Here is a 20,070-nt window from a genome sequence, read left to right on the forward strand (position 1 = left end):
TAATCTTTTACGTTACCAGTGCAAATGGCAACAAAGTGAAAAAGGTCAAGAAACTCTTAATATTATTACGAAAATCGTTTTGACCTTGCCAACTTACTGAAAAGGTCTCGGTACCCTTAGGGATCTGCGGAGGGCATTTTGGGAGCAGCTGCCATGGACTCACTACTGTTGTCTCTCATTAGGTTGCAAGTTCTATGTGAACTGTCTTTAACTGTCTGTTACGTGCCCTTGCCTAATAGTGCCTGGGACATAGCACTCAATAAACATCAACACCTGTGGAACGAGGGAATTAAAAACAGGTTATAAACAACCCCTGCACAGCCTTCATCTTACTGCCTCTTTCCTTAATTCAACCTGAACCTACGCATTTTGTAAAATTTTGTTTTTTTCACAATTAGGACGCCTGCCAACTTTTAAAAATAGTTGGAGTTGGGGTGCTGCCTGTATGTGATAAGGCTGCCCTATAGTTTGGTCAAGTGTTCTTCCGTGTTGTCCAAGAGTCATTCCTTCTTTACAGTCCCGCACCAGTAGGCCAGGCCGCTTGGTTTCCCAATCCGAGACCGGAAGGAACCGGGTAGACATGAGCACAAGACTCTCATCGACTTTTGGGGAAAACAAAAACACCGATAAAAATCCAGGCGGTGAAACGAGCAGCAACAGCCCCAGGGACCCGGGAGCTGGAGGCCGCAGCCGCGCGAGAACCGCCGGGTTGCCGGGGCGACGCTTCCGGCTGGCGCGCGCAGCCCCGGGAGCAGGGGAGTTGTGAAATGGGCGGCTAGATCTGCCCGGCGCTGTGAATTCGCCAGCGGGAGCGCGCTCGCGGCCGCGCGTTCTCCGCTTTCCCGGCTCCGTCGCTGACGCGTCGTAGACGTTGGGGAGCGGGAAGGCAACGGCAGCGGGATCGGGATGAACAGCGGCGGCGGCTTCGGTTTGGGCTTAGGCTTCGGCCTCACCCCCACGTCGGTGATTCAGGTGACGAATCTGTCGTCGGCGGTGACCAGCGAGCAGATGCGGACGCTTTTTTCCTTCCTAGGAGAAATCGAGGAGCTGCGGCTCTACCCCCCGGAGTAAGTGCTGGAGCTCGGCTGGGGGAGGGGCGCGGGCGCCATAGAGACCTCGGGAGCCGAGGCGTGGAGGAGAGCGCGGACGCGGGCGCGCGGTGCATGTCACGTGATCGCGCCGGCTTACCTTGGTGCCCATATTTGATTAGGGCACCCGGGTTCCGCCGTCCTGCTCTCCTTAGTCGGATTTGGGGGGTTAACTACTGCACGGAGCCCTTACCAAGGATTTAGAATGGTTGCCCTTTCTGTGCCTCCGGGACTTGTGTTCGCTGCTGGGTCTTCGAATTCCGTGCCCCCACCCTCTTATTTCCCCCCGAACTTAAGATGGCCGCAGGTGGGCCCGGAACAGCCCTCATGGCAAACGTCTCAGAGCGTTTTTCCACTCTGAAAATCGCGGAGACCGCGCCTGAGCCACAGTCCAGTTTTTAAGGCCTTGGTGTCAGGCCGTTTTGCTGACGAGAAAGCCTGCTGCTGGTGACAAGATGGAACTGGGGCTGTGTTTGTTTCCCAGGACGGTCGCACAAACTTAGCATTTTGGTTTATCTAACCGAGCGCATCCATGTTCCCAAAGATCATGTCTGTTAGCCCTTTTGACAGCAGATTAAATTTTCCTCCTGAAAGGTCACACTGTCCCAAAGCTTTCAGAAAAAGTGTAAGTCGGTGCAGGGTTATCCCTCCCGTATACATTTAAAGTCCAGATCTTGGCTGGCATTCACAGCTCGCGGCCACTTCCCAGATAGTGTATTTTGGAATGGTAAAATTTCCCTCGTACGATATTATTTAGAAAACTCGCAAGGGGTTTGTAGGTTGTTCACATTCTTGCACACAAACTTTTTTTCTTTTTTAATGGTAGATCTTACAGTATTAAGATCCTCCGTTTTTTGTTCATTATATCAAAATCCTTTGAGGGAAGGGGTAATTGTTACCCAAGATTTATTTCTTTAAAAAAATTTTGATTTATTTCCTAGTGATGCATTTAGACCTATTTTTCTTTAGTTTTCTATCTCAGGTTATAACAGTGCTGTTGCATAACTATATAAAAGTTGTGTGGATATTTAAAATTTACTTTTTAAGTTTTTCTTCTCTGCTTTTTGTTTTGGAATATTTCATGCATACAGAAAAGTTGAAAGAGTAATACATTGAACATCCATGTTCCTTTTACGAGCATTTTGTCTGTTTTTGGCTACAGTTGATTATTAAAATTTCCCCAGTTATTTTAATAATGCTTTTTTGTCTGCTTTTGATCTAGTATGTAATTAGATAACACTGTCTCCCTTGAATATGCCAAGTAATCCATGTATTAATAGTTATCTCCTTTAATCTAGGACAGTCCCGTCCCCTTTTAAAGATTCTAAAGTCGTGACATTGATATTTTGTTTTGTAGTTCATTTTGTCTTGTAATATGACTCATAATCTGAGTTTATATAGATGAGATATATAGATGAGGTATATAGAGATATGTGTATATATATATCTTTATATTCGTGACGAGATTCAGGTAATACATTTTTGACGAGAATACTGCATAAGTGCACGCACGTACATTTTGATTGATTAACCGTGGCATTATTGCTTTAATTATCTTAACTTTTGGAAATGCTTTCAGCCATCTCAATTTAAGTTCTCAGAACATTTCTTAATAGTTGAGAATAATTGAGAATTGTTTGGGGGAGTGCCGTATCCTGCAGGCATTGGAATCAATCAGTAAAATACTTTGTACATGAACCTTTGTAAATCTTGCTTTCAAGGCTGTGGTAATAAGGTATCTCATAGGTAGAAGAAATATATTGGAGAATGTTCTTCATTATCAACATAATATTTATTTGGTTGAAACCTGGGTTTGGGTGACAACACATTGCCATAACTGACAGTAATGGGCCACTTTTTTGAAATCAGATGTTATTACTTGGAATTTAAAAGTCAAAGAGAATAAAAAGTTCTTCACTTAAACATATGGAAGATTACGGTAGTGTATTTCACAAACTGTAACACATTAAGCAAAATTGTTGCATACGTGTAATATATATAGGCCAGGCAAAATCCTTAACTAGTTTTTCCCTAAGTGCAATACTAGATCCCTCATTCATGTTTTGCAGCAATACTGACATGCTTTATTCACAGGTTTTCTGCTTCGTAATGAAGTTGTCATTGCCTGGTCCTTATATTAGAAGACGTGTTTGCAAATTTGGACTGAAATGGATACAAAATGCAATAGTAGTAGTTGTATTGAAAATATATTGTTTTGCAGTGTCACATAAATTATTTTATGACATCTTTAGAGTTGAGTAGAAATTTAAATTGTTTTAAAATTGGAAATATATTTATTTTCAAATACATATTTCCAGGTATATTGGAAATACATTAATAGAATGTGAAAATAGTTTCTCATTAAAATTTTATGATTGAGCCAGGTGTGGTGGTGTGCACCTATAGTCCTAGCTACTCAGGAGGCTGAGGTGGGAGAACAGCTTGAGCCCAGGAGTTTGATTCCAACCTGAGTAACATATTGAGACCCCTATCTCTTAAAAAAAAATGACTTAAATGACTTAAGTTGCTAATATGAAAATTCAGATTTTAAATTTAATTCTTTTGGCATGATGCAGTGGTTGAGTTTCATCTTTATCTTTTAAACGTTAAGAATTTTTTAAGGCTAGGGAATTCTTGTGAACATTCACTGTAAGCATTAAGAATTCTTATTTGTAGTTTGTCATCCTTTTTTTGTGCTGCCAGTTGATAAATATGTAGAATTACTATTAACTTTTTGCACAATAAATCAATCTCACAGCTTGTGAAACTTTCTTACACAAGTAAGAAATCCTTGTTGTTTTTTCAGTAAATTTTTCATTGAGGTTTAATGTACCTACAGAGAAGTGCACAGGTCGTAAGCGCAGGTTGATGAATCTTTACAAAGTAAACATACCTATATAACCAGCACACAGTCAGGATTATCTGCACCCTGTAAGTTCCCCGTGACCCCCTTCAAGTAACTAAAACCTGAAGGGTAAGCCTACCCTGATTTGTAACACTAGACATTTTTCCTGTGTTGATTTTTTTTGCTTGTTGATTTCCGTCACTTCTCTGGTCTTCTAAAGTTCTAAGAAAGAATGGAAAAATCTGTCAACTACTTAAGTTTATTTAGTTAAAAAAAATGTAACCACTAAAGCCACTTTATAGAAAATAGAGAAAAGGAAACAGCACTTGTGATCCCACCACTCTATCAAAGCTTCTCTCCATTTCCCTGTAGTCCTTTTCACATGCGTTAATAAATATTGGACATATTACCTCATTGGTTTTAAAAATAATTGTATAGTGCTATCATTATGTAATATATGTAATATAGCGTAATCAAAGGAATCACACTGTTATTTTACTTTTTTCACTTTGTCATAAGCATTTTCCATATTGCTGTCTTATTTATAGTAATATTTAGAGATTAGTAATTTCTGAGTGTATTGTGTGTTTTTGAAATTCTATTGTTGGATATTTTGATTGCTTTTTTTGGTATTACAAATTAGTGGATTTTAGCTAGAAATTGGGAGGTGTGTCTTTTTGATTGTCAACAATGATTAGAGGGCCTGTTGGCATTTAGTGGGTAAATGTTAGCAACTTATAAGTAGTCTTAAACAGGATGAATTGTGCTAATCCATAGGGCCACTGAAGCCCAGTGAAGAAACCCTGTTATAAATAATGCACCAACTAATATTTTTGTACATGATACTGTATGCTTCGCTCATGTTTTGGCATATCTTTTTTGGTAGGTCCTCTGTCCTCTAAAGGATGTGTATTAATGTACTGATAAAATACTGGACATATTATTACCTCATTGGTTTTAAAAATATTGTATAGTGCTATCATTATGTTTAATAAAAGACAAAATAACCAGTTAGGGCCAAGAAATTTAATTGATGCCCAAAAAGTTGGTTCTTTGGTTTCTGCGTGTACTACCCACTGAAAAGTTTTAATTTTTTTTGAAAAATTGATAAGATTTTGTATTTTAAAAAACCAAAACTTTAAGTCAACGAATGAGGTCAAACTAAAATCTGCTAAATTTGGGTACTGCTATTTTCTTCTTAAAATTTATTTCTAAAATTTTATTTATTTATTTAGTTAAGTAGAGACAGGATTTCACCATGTTGCGCAGGCTGGACTCAAACTCCTGGGCTTAAGCAGTCCGCCTGCTTTGGCATCCTAAAGTGCTGGGGTGACAGATGTGAGCCACTGTGCCTGGCCTGCTAGTTTCTATAGATGCATACATTTAGACCAAATGGAATATGTCATCCCTTTTTATGTGTTTTTTTTTCCCCCAAGGTCTTCTTCTGTTGCCCAGGCTGGTCTTGAACTCTTGGGCACAAGCAAGTACACATTTGTTTGATGAGCTATCTGTTTGTTGGCTTGCTACTCTAATAATTTTAGTTTATAATGGTCAAAATAAAATAGTGTTACCTTGCCTGAAATTTTCAAATATTTGCATTTTTATAAAGTAAATGTAAGTTGGTCTTTATTTTAAGGAAGGTAATTGGAAATGAAGATTAAGAAAATTGGCCGGGTGCAGTGGCCCACGCCTGTAATCCCAGCGCTTTGGGAAGCCGAGGCAGGCGGATCACGAGGTCAGGAGTTCGAGACCTGTCTGGCCAACATAGTGAAATCTTGTTTCTACTAAAAATACAAAAAATTAGCTGGGTGTGGTGGTGTGCACCTGTTATCCCAGCTACTTGGGAGGCGGCAGGAGAATCGCATGAACCCGGGAGGCGGAGGTTGCAGTGAGCCGGGATCCCGCCATTGCACTCCAGCTCGGGTGACAGTGTGAAACTCTGTCTCAAAAAAAAAAGGAAAAGAAAAGAAAAGAAAATTGCTTAAATCAGTGGAGTAGCCGTACCTAATATCCATACTTCCATGATGATGCTGTTCAGAACAGACCAACATTTTTTTAACCAGTTCCCAGGCTTCTGAAATGTTGGTGGCATGTCTTCAGATGTAGTTGCATTACAAACCAGACTCAGAATTCCTATTCCTGTGGATGTTTTAAGTTTGAAATGAAGTAGATTTCAACTAGGGGTATTTGGAAATGTGGTTTTAGTTTTCAGTAGTGCTTACTTAACATTTACATTCCTTCACAAAAGGATCCGTCAGTTTAGGAAATGTTGCTTCAGAGATGACTGTCAGGCTCTTGAAGATTTCAGAGGCAAAAGAGTTATTCCTGTTGGAATTGCTAGGGCTTTAGTAGGTTATTATAATCACAGATTGTTTTTGGTTAAAAAGGACAGAAACAGTGTTACCCAAGGTACATCGAGAAGAGACATTATTATTAAAAAGAAAGATTTCACTGCGTTGAAAAATAAAGATTGTAGTACAGCCAGGCCTCATGGGAACTAGTACTGGGAACCAGAAGGGTATCAGCAATCAAGATGACTATCTGCTTCTTTCTCTGCAGTGGTTATTATCAGTTCAGTTTGTTTCTATCTACTCCATTTCTTTGCATACCTATTATGTACTCATCATCTGGCTTACAGCTTGCTGTAAGTCACCTTCCAGCCCAATAGAGAGAACCTGATTGATTGATCTAGCTCATTTGGTCGAGCCTGACTTCCAAAATTAGAGGTTGCTGGTCAGCCAGGGAAATGGGCCCTTGAGACTGGTGACTAATCATTTATGGCTAGAGAAGCTTATAGGATCTTTTGAGGGTTTCACATGAGGAAACCGTGCTAAGGCCTGTGCCAAAGCAATATAGAATGTCTTGGTAGCACATGTAGGAGGCTGTACCTAATGATTGCGGTATCTTAAGATGGTTTACCAGAAGACTTGGAAATTTGAGCCTTGAAGAAGAGTGGAATTAGCATTCAAAATGGGAGTTAGCGAGGACATCGTAACCAAATGGAACAGCATATATGAAGACCCATATGTTTGTGATGTGTTGCTGGAACCACAGGTATCATTTTTGGGTGCATTTCCATGACGAGGCAAGAACAGAATAGTACCTTTAAGGAAATTTGATATGTGGAGTGACACAATGAAATTTAGTGTTTAGAAAGATCACTGTGGGAGCTTTGGTGGAAGACCATTAATAAGGATTTGAGGTTGGGTGCTGTGTGATTTCTTAAAAGCTGTTAAGTAATCCACATGAGAAATGATGAGGGTCTGAATTAAGGCATTGGTAATGAGAATGATGAAAAAACTAATGTGACAAATATTTACAAGGTACTCTAAGCAGGATATATTGACCAATTGGATGAGGACAGAAAGGTCAAGGATAATTTATCAGTTAGAATAAGTAGAGTTTTGGAAATAACTTCAGATCTTTGTAGTTTGACAATTTTTTTTTTCTTTTTTGAGACACAGTCTCACTCTCTTGCCCAGGCTGGAGTGCAGTGGTGTGATCTCGGCTCACTGCAAACTCTGCCTCCCGGGTTCAAGCAATTCTTGTGCCTCAGCCTCCCAAGTAGCTGGGATTACAGGTGTGTGGCACCACACCCAGCTAATTTTTGTATTTTTAGTAGAGATGGGGTTTCATCATGTTGGCTAGACTGGTCTCAAACTCCTGACATCAGGTGATCTGCCTGCCTCTGCCTCCCATAGTGCTAGGATTACAGGCATGAGCCACCCTGCCTGGCTGACAAAATATTTTTTAGACTAAATTCGTGGGGGTGGGAACTTTACTCATTGTGGTTATTCACTCTGGGATGAAGTTGATGAGTCCCAGCCATCTTTTGAATGTTGCCAGTCGTTGTGGTGGAGGAAAAGAGTCAAACAGTGGTTCTCAGAGCTTCTTCAGAATAGTGACACATGTCAGTTCTGCTCATATTTAACTGACCAAAGCAGGTTACATGGCCACACCTAACTTAAAGGAACAGAAAAATGGAATTTTATTGTGTACCTAGAAAGAGCTTTGGAAGTAGTTGGTGGGCAGTGCTTAGGATGGTCACACTAGTGACTCCTAGGTTTCGGACTTGGGTAGTATGATATCTTTTACTGAAATATGGAATGCAGGGGACAGAGGGCAAGACTGGTAAGGAAGGAGGTTGATGAATGTATTTTCAACTTACTTAGTGACCATCAAGGTGTAATATTCCAGCAGGCACTTGTACCTGGGAGTCTAGAGCTCACAAGAGGCCTGAATTGGTGATTTGGTCATGTAAAGGTGGTGAGTTAAGTCTGGATGTGCATACAGTTAACCTCAGTGTCAGTACACAAGTTGCTTTGACTTAGGTGTTGGGTTGGGTAAGGAGGGATTTTTGTTGAGGGCTGATGTGAATCCTGAATTGGATGCCCTTAGGCAGAAGTGAGTTGGATGCTAAGAGGTACATCCTTTTTTTTTTTTTTTTTTTTTTTTTTTTTGAGAAGGAGTCTCGCTCTGTTGCCTAGGCTGGAGTGCAGTGGCGCAATCTCGGCTCACTGCAAGCTCCGCCTCCCGGGTTCACGCCACTCTCCTGCCTCAGCCTCCTGAGTAGCTGGGACTACAGGCGCCCGCCACCACGCCTGGAGAATTTTTTGTATTTTTAGTAGAGACGGGGTTTCACCGTGTTAGCCAGGATAGTCTCGATCTCCTGACCTCGTGATCCGCCCGCCTTCCGCCTTGGCCTCCCAGAGTGCTGGGATTACAGGCGTGAGCCACTGCGCCCGGCGGTACATCTTTTATTTTCAACTTTAATTAGCCTTACTAATTGTGTTAATAATGTAAATAGTTTTAAGTTCTAAATGCAGATTCATTTTATTATCACATTGTTTGGTTAATAGCATAAATATATATAAATTTAACCGTTATTAATGTGGTTATTCTACGTTGTTTAAAGATGGTTTTGTTCCTGGACGTGAAGAATTACAAAGAAATCTGGATTTTTGGATTTTAAAAACGGCTAATGTTTGTGGAATTGCTAATTTAATAGTATGTCAGAATGGTTTAAAGATTCTTGATTAGTTGAATGATTACAGTTGCATGAAGTTTGGAATTAGATGATTAGACATTAGATGTTAACTTTGCGATTTACTAGTTCTGGAATTGTAGTCAGTTTTCTTTCCTGTTTTGTAAACAAAAGTAAATGACTATTAAGTCATATATTTTTCAAGTGATCTCTCTTTTTTTAGTGTGAAAAATCTTAAATGTTTCAAATAGATTTTAATATAAAATCTATGTTACAGATTACGTATGTACTTAGTTCGGTCTTTTTTTTCCTGCTAAAGACAATTACAGATTTTAATGAAAAGTAATTATGGATAGGCTGACAAAATGATTATCCATGAGGATAGTATATTTTCGAATCTAACAGGATGTATTCATTTTAGGAAAAGTTCCTTTCATTTGTGCTTTGTCTGGTTCATTTTTAGTATCGGCCTGCCTGGATTAAACTGAATCAAGTAGGACCAGTTAGAGTCTTTGTTGCCTATAAAATATGTAAGATTTTGTTTGTAAAATCTTTTGTCTGGAAAATCATCACTGTCCAGCTCTGGTGTATGCAAAATACCTCAATTTAAATTCCATACTACCTGACTCTTTCTAAGACTGTTGTGAAGTTTTTTAGTGATGTAAATGCTTGGGAAACACATTTAGGAAGAGTTGGAATGATGATAAAATTTGAAATCTTGAGGTTTGGAGCTTTTATAAAGGGATTTTTGCTTACATATGATACACTTTTTGAGTTAATTTTTGGGTTAAATTAGCTTTTTTTACATTCACTCGGATTAAGGATTGATTAATTTGAGTTCCAAGTTTTACAAGTAAGGCAGTAGGCCTGCCTGGATTGCCTTCTGTTGTGGTAGACAAATCACCATTAAATGACTAAGTTTCACTGTTTTATGTGTTAATGATCCTTAATAACAAAAAGTTTTAAAGTCTTAATTTCGTAAGATTATGTAAAGGTTAAGAAAGAAATTTTAAGTGAAAATGATAAAACCAAGCAAATGTTTATTAGTTCAATTGTTTTTCTTTTTATCTTGCAGCAACGCACCTCTTGCTTTTTCCTCCAAAGTATGTTATGTTAAGTTTCGTGATCCATCAAGTGTTGGCGTGGCCCAGCATCTAACTAACACGGTTTTTATTGACAGAGCTCTGATAGTTGTTCCTTGTGCAGAAGGTTGGTATCTCGCTTTTTTTCCTCTTATTTGAATTTCTGTCCTGTCTGTTATTGCCTTTAGCTTTCCTAGAGATTGGCAAGTAGACAGTACTCTTGGTGTGTGTGTGAAAGTAAGAATGAAATTTGGAGGAGGTAAACCTTTTTACCTAATAGTAATATTAAAATGGTTAATTTATGACATGTACATTTGAGGTTTTACAATTTAACATTCATTGGCTTCTGGTTTGCTTTGGCTTTCTGTAGTCAATTTGCAGATTGCAAAGAAAGCTTTCTGAAATTAAAAAATAATTGATATGGGAAATTATTTTAAATGCATAAACAAGCATTTACCTTGTGTGTTCAATATTAATACTATTACAAATGAAAATAGTGTACACATTTTGGCAAATTGGGGTTAAGTGATATTTATAAGAAAATATTTGTAATTTATACTTTCAAGTACACTCTTAAGGTAATTTACCTTAATTGTTACTATGAGATCATTATTTTATATTCAATGTAATTGTTTGCTTTGCAACTGGAATTTAATGTTTTCTTTTACTGGCCCCAAAAAGGGGCAGGAGGAGTGTTGGAAAAAAAGGAAAGCAATTTTCCAAAGCCTCCATGAAGGAAGTAGTTGTTGAAGATAGGAACAAAGGCCTTAAAGTATCCATTAAATTTTATGACCTAAACTGCTTTAAGAACTAATTATTACTAATATTTTTTAGTAACTTCTGTTTACAGAGCCACTCACGTATAATAGACTGTGCTGAATTTTGACACTTCTGGTGTATAATTAACTTTTATTCAGAGCACTGACTAGCATGTGTACAGGATTTTAGAATTGGGTTATTATAAATTAAAATGTCTTAAAGTAGATTTTCTCTGGTGGATGATTGAAACTGTTTTAAACATAAAGGTTTATGGAAAACAGTTTGATGGGCTTTCATATGTAATTTTTAAAACCTCTTTTAGTGGCCAGGCTGACATTAAAATAATATATAATAAGCAGTTTGCTGCACTTTAAAGGTTTTATGCTTATTTCAGAATGCCTGTTCTGGGATGTCAAAAACATTACAGTCTAATACAGTGAGTACCAGGCTCGTATTTTTTAAGTCCCAGAATAGGACATTCTCAGTATTTTTCAGATAAATTTGGAAGTGTCTTTCCCATGCTTGGGGGTTAGAGTGGGTAGGGAAGATAAAAATGGATTAAAGTTAATTATTGGCCAAATGTATCTTTATCTGCTGATCTGTAAGGCTACAGTAAGCCCCAAATTGGTGAGGTGGGAAAGGAGCTGGTGAATGGTTTCGTTCTACAAACTTTGTAGTGAAATTTCATACTGAGAAACTGCATGGGAAAAAAGAAATCAGGTAAAAGGTTTATTAAACTGGAATATTAATTATATCAGAAAATTAATACCACCAATAACACTGGGTCTTTTATTGTGTTAGCTTATTACTGAATTGGAAGGAAGAATTTTATCAGTGTTGCTTGGTTGAAACCTGCTTTATTCCCATAGAATCTTTCATATATCTGAGAAGCCCTACTGTATTTTGTTATAAATGTTCAAGATGATGGGCGTGTAGATGTCCCTTTTATTGTTTATTTTACTTGATAGAGATGAATAAATGCACAGTCAGATGTACCTTTTTAGTGTTTTTAATATTACAACTTGGACAGTTTTACTGTTTTTGAACAGAAAAATTTAAGCATACTTTTATTGCAATTTAGTTATAAGTAAGTAAATATTTTGAAACACTAACCTACAGTTGGTATTGGTGAAACATTCAGATATACGTTTTTCATTAGTTGTATTAAATACGGCAGAGATGAATTTATGGAACCTCGAGAATTTCACAGTGAGCTGTTAAAATACTGATTATGCACTACAAGCAAAGAAATAGTGCATTATTGTACTAAAAAAGATAGCAGAGTGAGTGTGAAATAACCAAAGAAAAGTATTCCAGTGGAGTAAGTTCTGTAAGAGGAGATGTGCTGTGGTGCTGTAAGCAAGCAGTGTTCTGTTGACCTCACTGAATGCATCCTTTCCTTGATGTTGAACAAACAGCATCATGACATAAGTGAGAAAAACCATAGAAAAAAATTTAAGAAGTTTTTTCAGTTTCTTTGAATTGCTGTTTTTTAGTGTAGACAGTAATGTGAGAAGATCCTAAGTTGTAAAAGTAACATTTGATGTGTAACAGTTTCATGCATATTAAGCCTTAGCCTTTGTTAATAAAACATGCCATTTCAAAATAAAATATGCTTTCATTATACTTGTCCAAATATGACCTCTTTTTGTTGTTGCGTGCATTTCAGATTTCTTTTTATAAATGTTAACACGTAGAAAAAGATACGGTCAAACATAACAAGGGTGTCAGCCTAATCATCAGTCATAACTTTATGTCCACATTTTCTGGTAGATGGATTTTGACTATTAATTTGGTTTTGTATGTTTTCTCTATGTGATATTTGTGCATTATTAGATGACTAGACTGGCCAAGGCAGACCTGTTACACTTGCCTGAGTTAGGCATTGTTTGCCATGCCACTAAACCTGCCGTCAAGTGAAACCTTCATTGGGGAAATGAGATCGGAGTCTGAACCGCAGAAGATGGACGCCCTGTCTCTGTTTTTTATTGTTTTACTTTAATTTCATTTCTTTTTCTTTATTTTGTCCCTTTTTTTGTTTTTGTTTTTGTTTTTGTTTTGTTAAATCTCTTTCACTTTAACTTGTGAGCTGGTTTTCCCAGTTCTTTGTAAATGGTATTTCATTAAGGGTTCATAACGTGTTGCAAATTATATTGGGAGATGATTAGTAGAGCTCAACCTTAAGATAAAGCAAATTTTCATGTGGTAAATTAGGATACAGTGTTGTGAAGCTCATTGTGAGTCTTAATTTGTGTGTATGGACTCATAAGGTACATTTTATTCTTGAAACATTAAAACACTGATAAGTATCTCAGGAACACTTTCTGATCTCAGCGCAACATTTTTCTAGTTTTTTTCCCCCCTAGTCTACATCTCTCATAAAAACTGATAGCTTCTAATTTTTGTCCTTCCCCCTGGAATTTTAGGCATACAAAATCATCAAGGAAAATAAGTAAATATAACAATCTGGGAGTAAAGAAGAGCCTTTCATTTTTATGATGGTTATTTATCATATAACTTATTTCCTTGACTTATGAAGACTTTTTGTTGCCTATGTGGGGAATGGATATTTGAGAAACTTAAGTATTTGCATGTAGGTTTTTGTTAGCTTGAATTTTTTGTTGAATATTTTTCAGAGGTTACTAGCTTCTAAATGGATTCTGAGATTAGGACTATAATACTGTGAGAGATGTTTTCCTCAGTTGACTTTGAGGAGTATAGTTTGGGAAAAATGCTAAATGCTTATTTGTTTTATACTTTTATAAGCTCTGTTATTTGGAGGGTAAATTTGGTAGAATTCTATCTTGGAAATTAAGCAATGGAGCTTTTTCTTAAAGTACTTTTGCCATTACCTTTAGGTAATTAGAATAAGTATATAGAGTAATTAGAATGGTAATTGAAAGTTAATTTATTAAAAAATGTGCTTATAGTGGATTTATACATTTATAGTAGTATACTATATTTATAGTAGTATACTCTTTTGAAAGGCAGTGGGAGAGTTTGACAACCTACTGATACTTAAGCTGAAAGTGAAAGACTTCATAATACTAAGTAGTCAACTTTTGGCCAGTGTTGAATACCCTTTTTGTTTGTATAGTCTTTCTACAATGTCTTCAATAGGTAGTTTTACTTATTAAAGGACAAGTAATATTAAATTTGGGACATTACTAGATTAGAACTCTGAGTTTCCTTAGGTGCATACATTAAGGTAGTGACGATGGAGTTTCTGCCTCAAAACCTCAATTTATCAAGAATGTTCAGGTTTTACAAACCTTTTGAGATAATACCAATTTATAACAGATAAAACAGGTGAAATCAATATAAATAGTATAGTGTATATGTGGGTATATATAAATACATGTGTTAATACCAATAACTAATACATATAAAGCAGATTATTGTTATTTGATGTTTTCAGTAAGGCCTACCTGCCTTTTGTTGATGCATGTTAAGAAATCTGTTCTCCAGAATTTTCACTGAAATAATAAAGATAACTTTGTTTTTGAAAGTAATAAAGTAATATAAACTTAGATGCTGCAAAGGTAGAAAATAGTAGGTTTTATTTGCTTCCTATAAATAAGGCATAGCCATTATTTAAATCAAGTTTTAAATTCCAACTTGAGTTCCATCCATGTTTAAAGATATATTCAGATAATATTGTTTAGGGATTTATCTCTGCACATGTGGTTGTTTTAAATATTTTTACAACTGAAACCAGGCATGGTGCTTGTGGAAATTTACTGCATATGCTATATTTCAGTTTAGCATGATTTTGTGCATTGTCTTTTAAAACACTTTTGGAGAATTAATAATAGAAATGCTTTACCAGCTACCACATGAGTGTTCTTCTAAATATATCCACATGTAGTCAACTATTTAAGAATTTTTTTTTTTTTTTTTTGCCTAAGGGGATAAGGAAAAATAATGTGAAAGTTGCAGTCCTTATCAGAAGTAATTGATTAGAATTCAGCAATGAATATGCCAAATCGTACTTATTTCAGAGTAAGTTTTTCATTTTTTTAGGTTGTAGGGAGTTTTTTTCCTACTGAGTGTTATTAGATTATTTTAATGTTACTATTGTTATTAGGCAATTAAAATGTTTTTAAGCAAGCTTTAAGGCATTAACCTCCCCCTTCAGATAAGTATACATAAATTGGTTCTAAAAGTTAATAAGAAGTTTTCTGAAACCAGGGAACTTTTTTTTTCCTGAAACATTTTTAGTAGTTTCCCAAGGCATATTTTTTGGAACTGAGTTCTTTTAGGCATCTCTGATGTTGGTGAGATGCTTTATTAACTGAATGGATGTAGGCTTCCTTTTACGTTGAAGTTGATTACATGGAGTAAGTTTTTGTTTTCTATTTGAAATTAAATGGAATCTGTTGGAGGGTTATCAAAATTGTTTGCATCACAAATAGGTAGTTTCAGTAACAGGATAGGGGCACTCATTAAGAAATTTCAATTCGCACATATTTGTTTTTTCTTTTTCTTTTTTTTGACTAATTTGGTTATTTGCCATTTCTGGGGATTAAACTTTAAAAAATGTTCTTCTTTTCTGTATCTGATGTTCTGTGTGCTATTAGTGATGCAGCCAACACGAACGGTTGTCATGTGTAACACAACTTTCGATCACCGCGAAAACACCGTCCTGGGAAAGCGTCCATGCTTGATATCGTTTGGTTCATGAACATTAAGTTTCCAGTACAGGTGACCCATAGCTCAAAGTGTTAAATAATTGTCTACATTATTCAATTTTTAAAATAATATTCCATTAATGAGATTGTTAATATTTGAAGTTTTGCTCACTTTTATTTTTCCTAGTAGAGCAGGATAAAAGGAAAGACTTAAGTTCTTATTTATTTCTTTATACAGATCTGATAGATAGATTCATTTATTATTATTATTTTTTAACTGCAAGGGTAATTGTAAAATCATAGTGTAAAGTTTGTGTGGTGTTTCTGCTTTTTGTAATGTTTGGAACTTGCCTCTGCAGGTAAAATCCCAGAGGAATCCAAAGCCCTCTCTTTATTGGCTCCTGCTCCAACCATGACAAGTCTGATGCCTGGTGCAGGATTGCTTCCAATACCGACCCCAAATCCTTTGACTACTGTAAGTACTATAAGCTGGCTTATGAAAGAGGTGAATGTTCAACTGTGTGACCAGTTGAATAGAGAGCTTCAGATTATTTGCATTTGGATCTTCTTCTTTTTTTTTTTTTTAATAGAGAGGATTCGAAATCACTGCTTAAACTTTTTTTTTCACTTTATCAGTGACTTAACGCTGCGTTTTGGATTTACTCCTGAAGTAATAGGGGATTCATTTAAATTTGAGAACCCCAATAGATTATTCACTAGAAAATCAGTTATTAAAACTCAATATTTTAGATAGCATAGAGGATCTAGGTAACTGTATTTCTCAGTTAATGAGGATTAAATCCATTTAAAATACGTGAAATGATCCACAACTTTGGTAATGGGAAAAAAACAGGTCTTTGTCTGATATTGAGAAAATGTAATAAGGTGAAAACATGGCAAAATATTTTTCCATTAACTATGCAGAATTAAATCATAATTTAGTAATGCTTCCTTTGTGATTTCCAAGTGGGATTAAAAAAGGATATTACGGCCAGGCGCGGTGGCTCATGCCTGTAATCCCAGCACTTTGGGAGGCCGAGGCAGGTGGATCATGAGGTCGGGAGATCGAGACCATCCTGGCTAACACAGTGAAACCCCGTCTCCACTAAAAATACAAAAACTTCTCTGGGCGTGGTGGCGGGTGCCCGTAGTCCCAGCTGCTCGGGAGGCCGAGGCTGGAGAATGGCGTGAGCCTGGGAGGCGGAGCTTGCAGTGAGCGAAGATTGCGCCACTGCACTCCAGCCTGGGCGACAGAGGGAGAGTCTCAAAAAAAAAAAAAGGGTATATTACTATTACTGGTTCTTGGTTTTTGCTTAAAAAACTCTGGCCATATTTATTTTAAAAGAAGTGCCATTTTTCTTCAAAAGACAACATAGAACAAAATACAAAGCTTGCCTTAATTGGAAGTTGAATCTAGCTTTGTGGTGTTGGATAGGAATTGAACTAAGAAATGAACTATGTGATTGTAGTTAATTTATCTAGATTGTAAGAGTGGTTTCTGAAATTTTGAAGTGCAAAATTTTAGATTTGTAGTTTTTACATAACATTGCTATGCTGAAGACCTGCATTCTGATTCTTGGGGGGAAATGTTTTTTAATTGAACTTATGTGTTCAAGGAACAGAATGGTGGTCAGTATGGTTGAAGCATAGTGAGTGAGGGTCATGAGTGTTTGAGATTGGAGGGGATAGATAGGACACAGATTATGGTAGGGCTTTTTAGACCATGGAAAGAGGGGTTTGAGTTTTATTCTTAAGGTAATTAGAAACCATTGATGGGTTTTAAGCAGGGATATGACATGATTTGACATGTTTTAAAAAGATCAGACTGGCTGCTGTGATAAGTGACATTGATTTCATAAACTTCCGTTTTCACCATTAGCAAGTGCCATTACTTAACAGTTGTTAAAATCTTAGTTCTGTATCATATTTGTATATATAGTCATTAATGGTCAAAATGTTCTCTAATAGTATAAGTGGAAATGAAAAGAGTTGTGCTTTTTTCCTTGAAAGCTCTTTTCGTTCTGAAAAATTTTTTCTGTTTTCAAATTCTGAGATCTTACATTTCTTCTAGTTTACATTCATATTAAAAATAATACGTTCCTTAATGCTGAAAGTAAAAACTGAATTTAGTGATGCTATAGAAAGATCATTCAAAGTTTTTTTGAAGGTTTTTGCCCTTTTCCTACCATGGCATAAGTAAGGGCTCAATATTTTAGATATATTTTCTTAGGTAAACTTTCAGCATGATAATAATAACCCATTTCTTAGGGTTGATATGAGGATTAAGTTACTACCTCAGTTAAATTCGATGCTATGATAATTGTTGACTGTTAGGAACTCATACTCATACTCATCTGTGTTTTTCAATGACCAAGGTACAGTTGATTCTCATTCTTTGTGAATTCTGTATTTTTGAATTCACTTAGTAAGTAAAATTTTTTTGAAATCCCCACATCAACAGTTGGAGCACTTTTGTGGTCGTTCGTGGACATACACAGAGTGGTGAAAAATTGGGGTTTGTCTATTTGCACGGAGGTCGAAATCTTCTTGTTTTGGCACTCAGGCAGTAAACAAGCACGCAGTCTGTTTAGTGCTATGTTCTTTGAATTGTTGTGCTTTTTGTTGGTGATTTCACTGTTAAGATGGGCCCACAAGTGTAGTGCCAAACTGCTGTGTAGTGTTCCTAAGTACAGGGAGATTGTGAAGTGCCTCATGGAGAAAATATTAAATACATGTATTAGATAAGCTTCATTCAGGCCTGAATTGTAGCGCTGCTGGCTGTAAGTTCAGTGTTAATGAATCGACAATATATAACAGCTAAGGTGTCTTTAAACAGAAGAACATATAAAATAAGGTTAAATATTTTACTAGTTAATGTAAATGTGACCAGAGGCTTGTAGGAACTTCACCCTGTATTTTCCCTAGGAATAATGGTTCAATATTCAATAATTCATTGTTCACGGAAACTATAGAACATAGCTATGTCAGGTAATGAGAAACAGCCTGTCTTTTAGGGTCAAGTTTAAAAGTGGCTAAAATATCCAGACAGTAAAATATATTTCAAATTACATTTAAAACTAATGTGACCTTACTTTAATAACTCAGACATATATATGACTGAAAGTTCGGAGTCCCTAGTCTCCTTTCATTCTTGTTGAGTTAGTTCATTCTTTTCAAGATTAGAGAATGGTATCTTTGGATACTAATAGAAAATATGTGTTCTGTGTGTTTTTTTTCTTCTTTCGATAGCTTGGTGTTTCACTTAGCAGTTTGGGAGCTATACCAGCAGCAGCACTAGACCCCAACATTGCAACACTTGGAGAGATACCACAGCCACCACTTATGGGAAACGTGGATCCTTCCAAAATAGATGAAATTAGGAGAACGGTTTATGTTGGAAATCTGAATTCCCAGGTAACTAATTAAAGAAGAAACAAAGCAGCAGTAGCCCTTATTCTTTTTCTCTTCTTAAAAATCATATCAGTGGATACAGTAATATTTATCTGATTTTTTAAATGGATATATTTTATCAAAGTGTCACTTTGTTCCCTTAGACAACGACAGCTGATCAACTACTTGAATTTTTTAAACAAGTTGGAGAAGTGAAGTTTGTGCGGATGGCAGGTGATGAGACTCAGCCAACTCGGTTTGCTTTTGTGGAATTTGCAGACCAAAATTCTGTACCAAGGGCCCTTGCTTTTAATGGAGTTATGTTTGGAGACAGGCCACTGAAGTAAGAAATCCTAAACAAAGAAATTTTAATGATTTTGAAACATTTAAAGTATTTTTGATGTAATGAAGGCTTTTTTTTTCTTTTTAATAGTAATTGGCAATTTGTGGAAAGGAAGACTTTGTGTTAAGTATAAATGAAATACATGAGATACTTACCATTTTAGTCTTTAAATTCCTTTATTTAGAGACATTTATTTTCTCATTTTCTGTTTTCTAGGGTCTAATTCAGTGTTAACATTATTTATATACCCTGCATAACGGTTGTAGGTCTTTTTCCATAAACTTTAATAGTCAGGTTGGTTTTACATTATGACACTAGACTAATTGAGCAACTTAACAGGTGGGTTGAACTACAGTACTTCCAGTAACAACTGTGGTAAATTCAAAATCTACAGAAGGAAATTATAAGTGCCCAGAAATGTTTTAAACCAGAAATTTTGACTTTTGAGGTTTGCTTACATCCTTGTTTGTAAAACGTTGATAATGGCCTTCGAGATACTCCAGACCAGAAATTCTATTTCATGCAGATTGTTGAGGCATATATAGTTTTGCTTGAATTTCATAGATTGCTTTAGTTATACAATTTGATCAGGATTTTTCTGTTAAGGATAAGTTTTTAGTGGGTACTTGTCTTCCCAGTGTGGAAGGGGTAAAGCAAGACACATAATATCCATTCATGTGCATCAGAGAAGTCACTCTTACCTAGTAGAGGAAGAATTTTTTCAGATGCCTTGCACATTCAAAGCTATGTCTAACTCAGCCATGGTTCAGCGTTGGTTAAAATGGTGTACATAATATGATGATATACAGGTAGCTTACCCTTCTTCTAGAGTGTACAGGATATCAGTAAGATCTTTTGATTTGAAAATAGAAATGATTCATTTTCATATTGGTATCAACATTTTAATTTATTTTAATTCTAAGCTATGGAAAAGCACTTCATCTAGTC

At 36.3% G+C, this 20,070-nt stretch overlaps 1 protein-coding gene across 13 annotated transcripts in view, besides 4 other annotated features; it reads left to right on the forward strand.

Moving 5' to 3' along the window:
* Positions 611-680: a silencer, noted in NCBI's record as "silent region_16063". NCBI's record gives its function as "represses an Ori minimal core promoter by ATAC-STARR-seq in GM12878 lymphoblastoid cells {active_cell/tissue: GM12878}" and the evidence as "EXISTENCE:reporter gene assay evidence [ECO:0000049][PMID:35858748]".
* SREK1 (splicing regulatory glutamic acid and lysine rich protein 1) overlaps positions 830-20,070 on the forward strand; it is a 39,316-nt gene continuing 20,075 nt past the window's right edge. For 4 of the 13 annotated variants that reach the window (NM_001077199.3, NM_001323529.2, NM_001323533.2 and 1 more), the window contains exons 1-5: positions 830-1,067; positions 9,993-10,126; positions 15,749-15,864; positions 18,639-18,803; positions 18,944-19,122. In NM_001077199.3, the coding sequence (NP_001070667.1) occupies positions 907-1,067; positions 9,993-10,126; positions 15,749-15,864; positions 18,639-18,803; positions 18,944-19,122 (755 nt within the window). In that variant the 5' untranslated portion in view covers positions 830-906. Of the gene's footprint in view, positions 1,068-1,364; positions 1,714-9,992; positions 15,865-18,638; positions 18,804-18,943; positions 19,123-20,070 lie in introns of those variants that run through there. The other 9 variants (NM_001323527.2, NM_001270492.2, XM_047416738.1 and 6 more) reach the window with 7 other exon arrangements.
* Positions 861-1,140: an enhancer, noted in NCBI's record as "active region_22615". NCBI's record gives its function as "activates an Ori minimal core promoter by ATAC-STARR-seq in GM12878 lymphoblastoid cells {active_cell/tissue: GM12878}" and the evidence as "EXISTENCE:reporter gene assay evidence [ECO:0000049][PMID:35858748]".
* Positions 1,401-1,460: an enhancer, noted in NCBI's record as "active region_22616". NCBI's record gives its function as "activates an Ori minimal core promoter by ATAC-STARR-seq in GM12878 lymphoblastoid cells {active_cell/tissue: GM12878}" and the evidence as "EXISTENCE:reporter gene assay evidence [ECO:0000049][PMID:35858748]".
* Positions 1,521-1,570: an enhancer, noted in NCBI's record as "active region_22617". NCBI's record gives its function as "activates an Ori minimal core promoter by ATAC-STARR-seq in GM12878 lymphoblastoid cells {active_cell/tissue: GM12878}" and the evidence as "EXISTENCE:reporter gene assay evidence [ECO:0000049][PMID:35858748]".

Source organism: Homo sapiens, chromosome 5 (genome assembly GCF_000001405.40).
Source record: "Homo sapiens chromosome 5, GRCh38.p14 Primary Assembly".
Taxonomy (NCBI): Eukaryota; Metazoa; Chordata; class Mammalia; order Primates; family Hominidae; genus Homo; species Homo sapiens.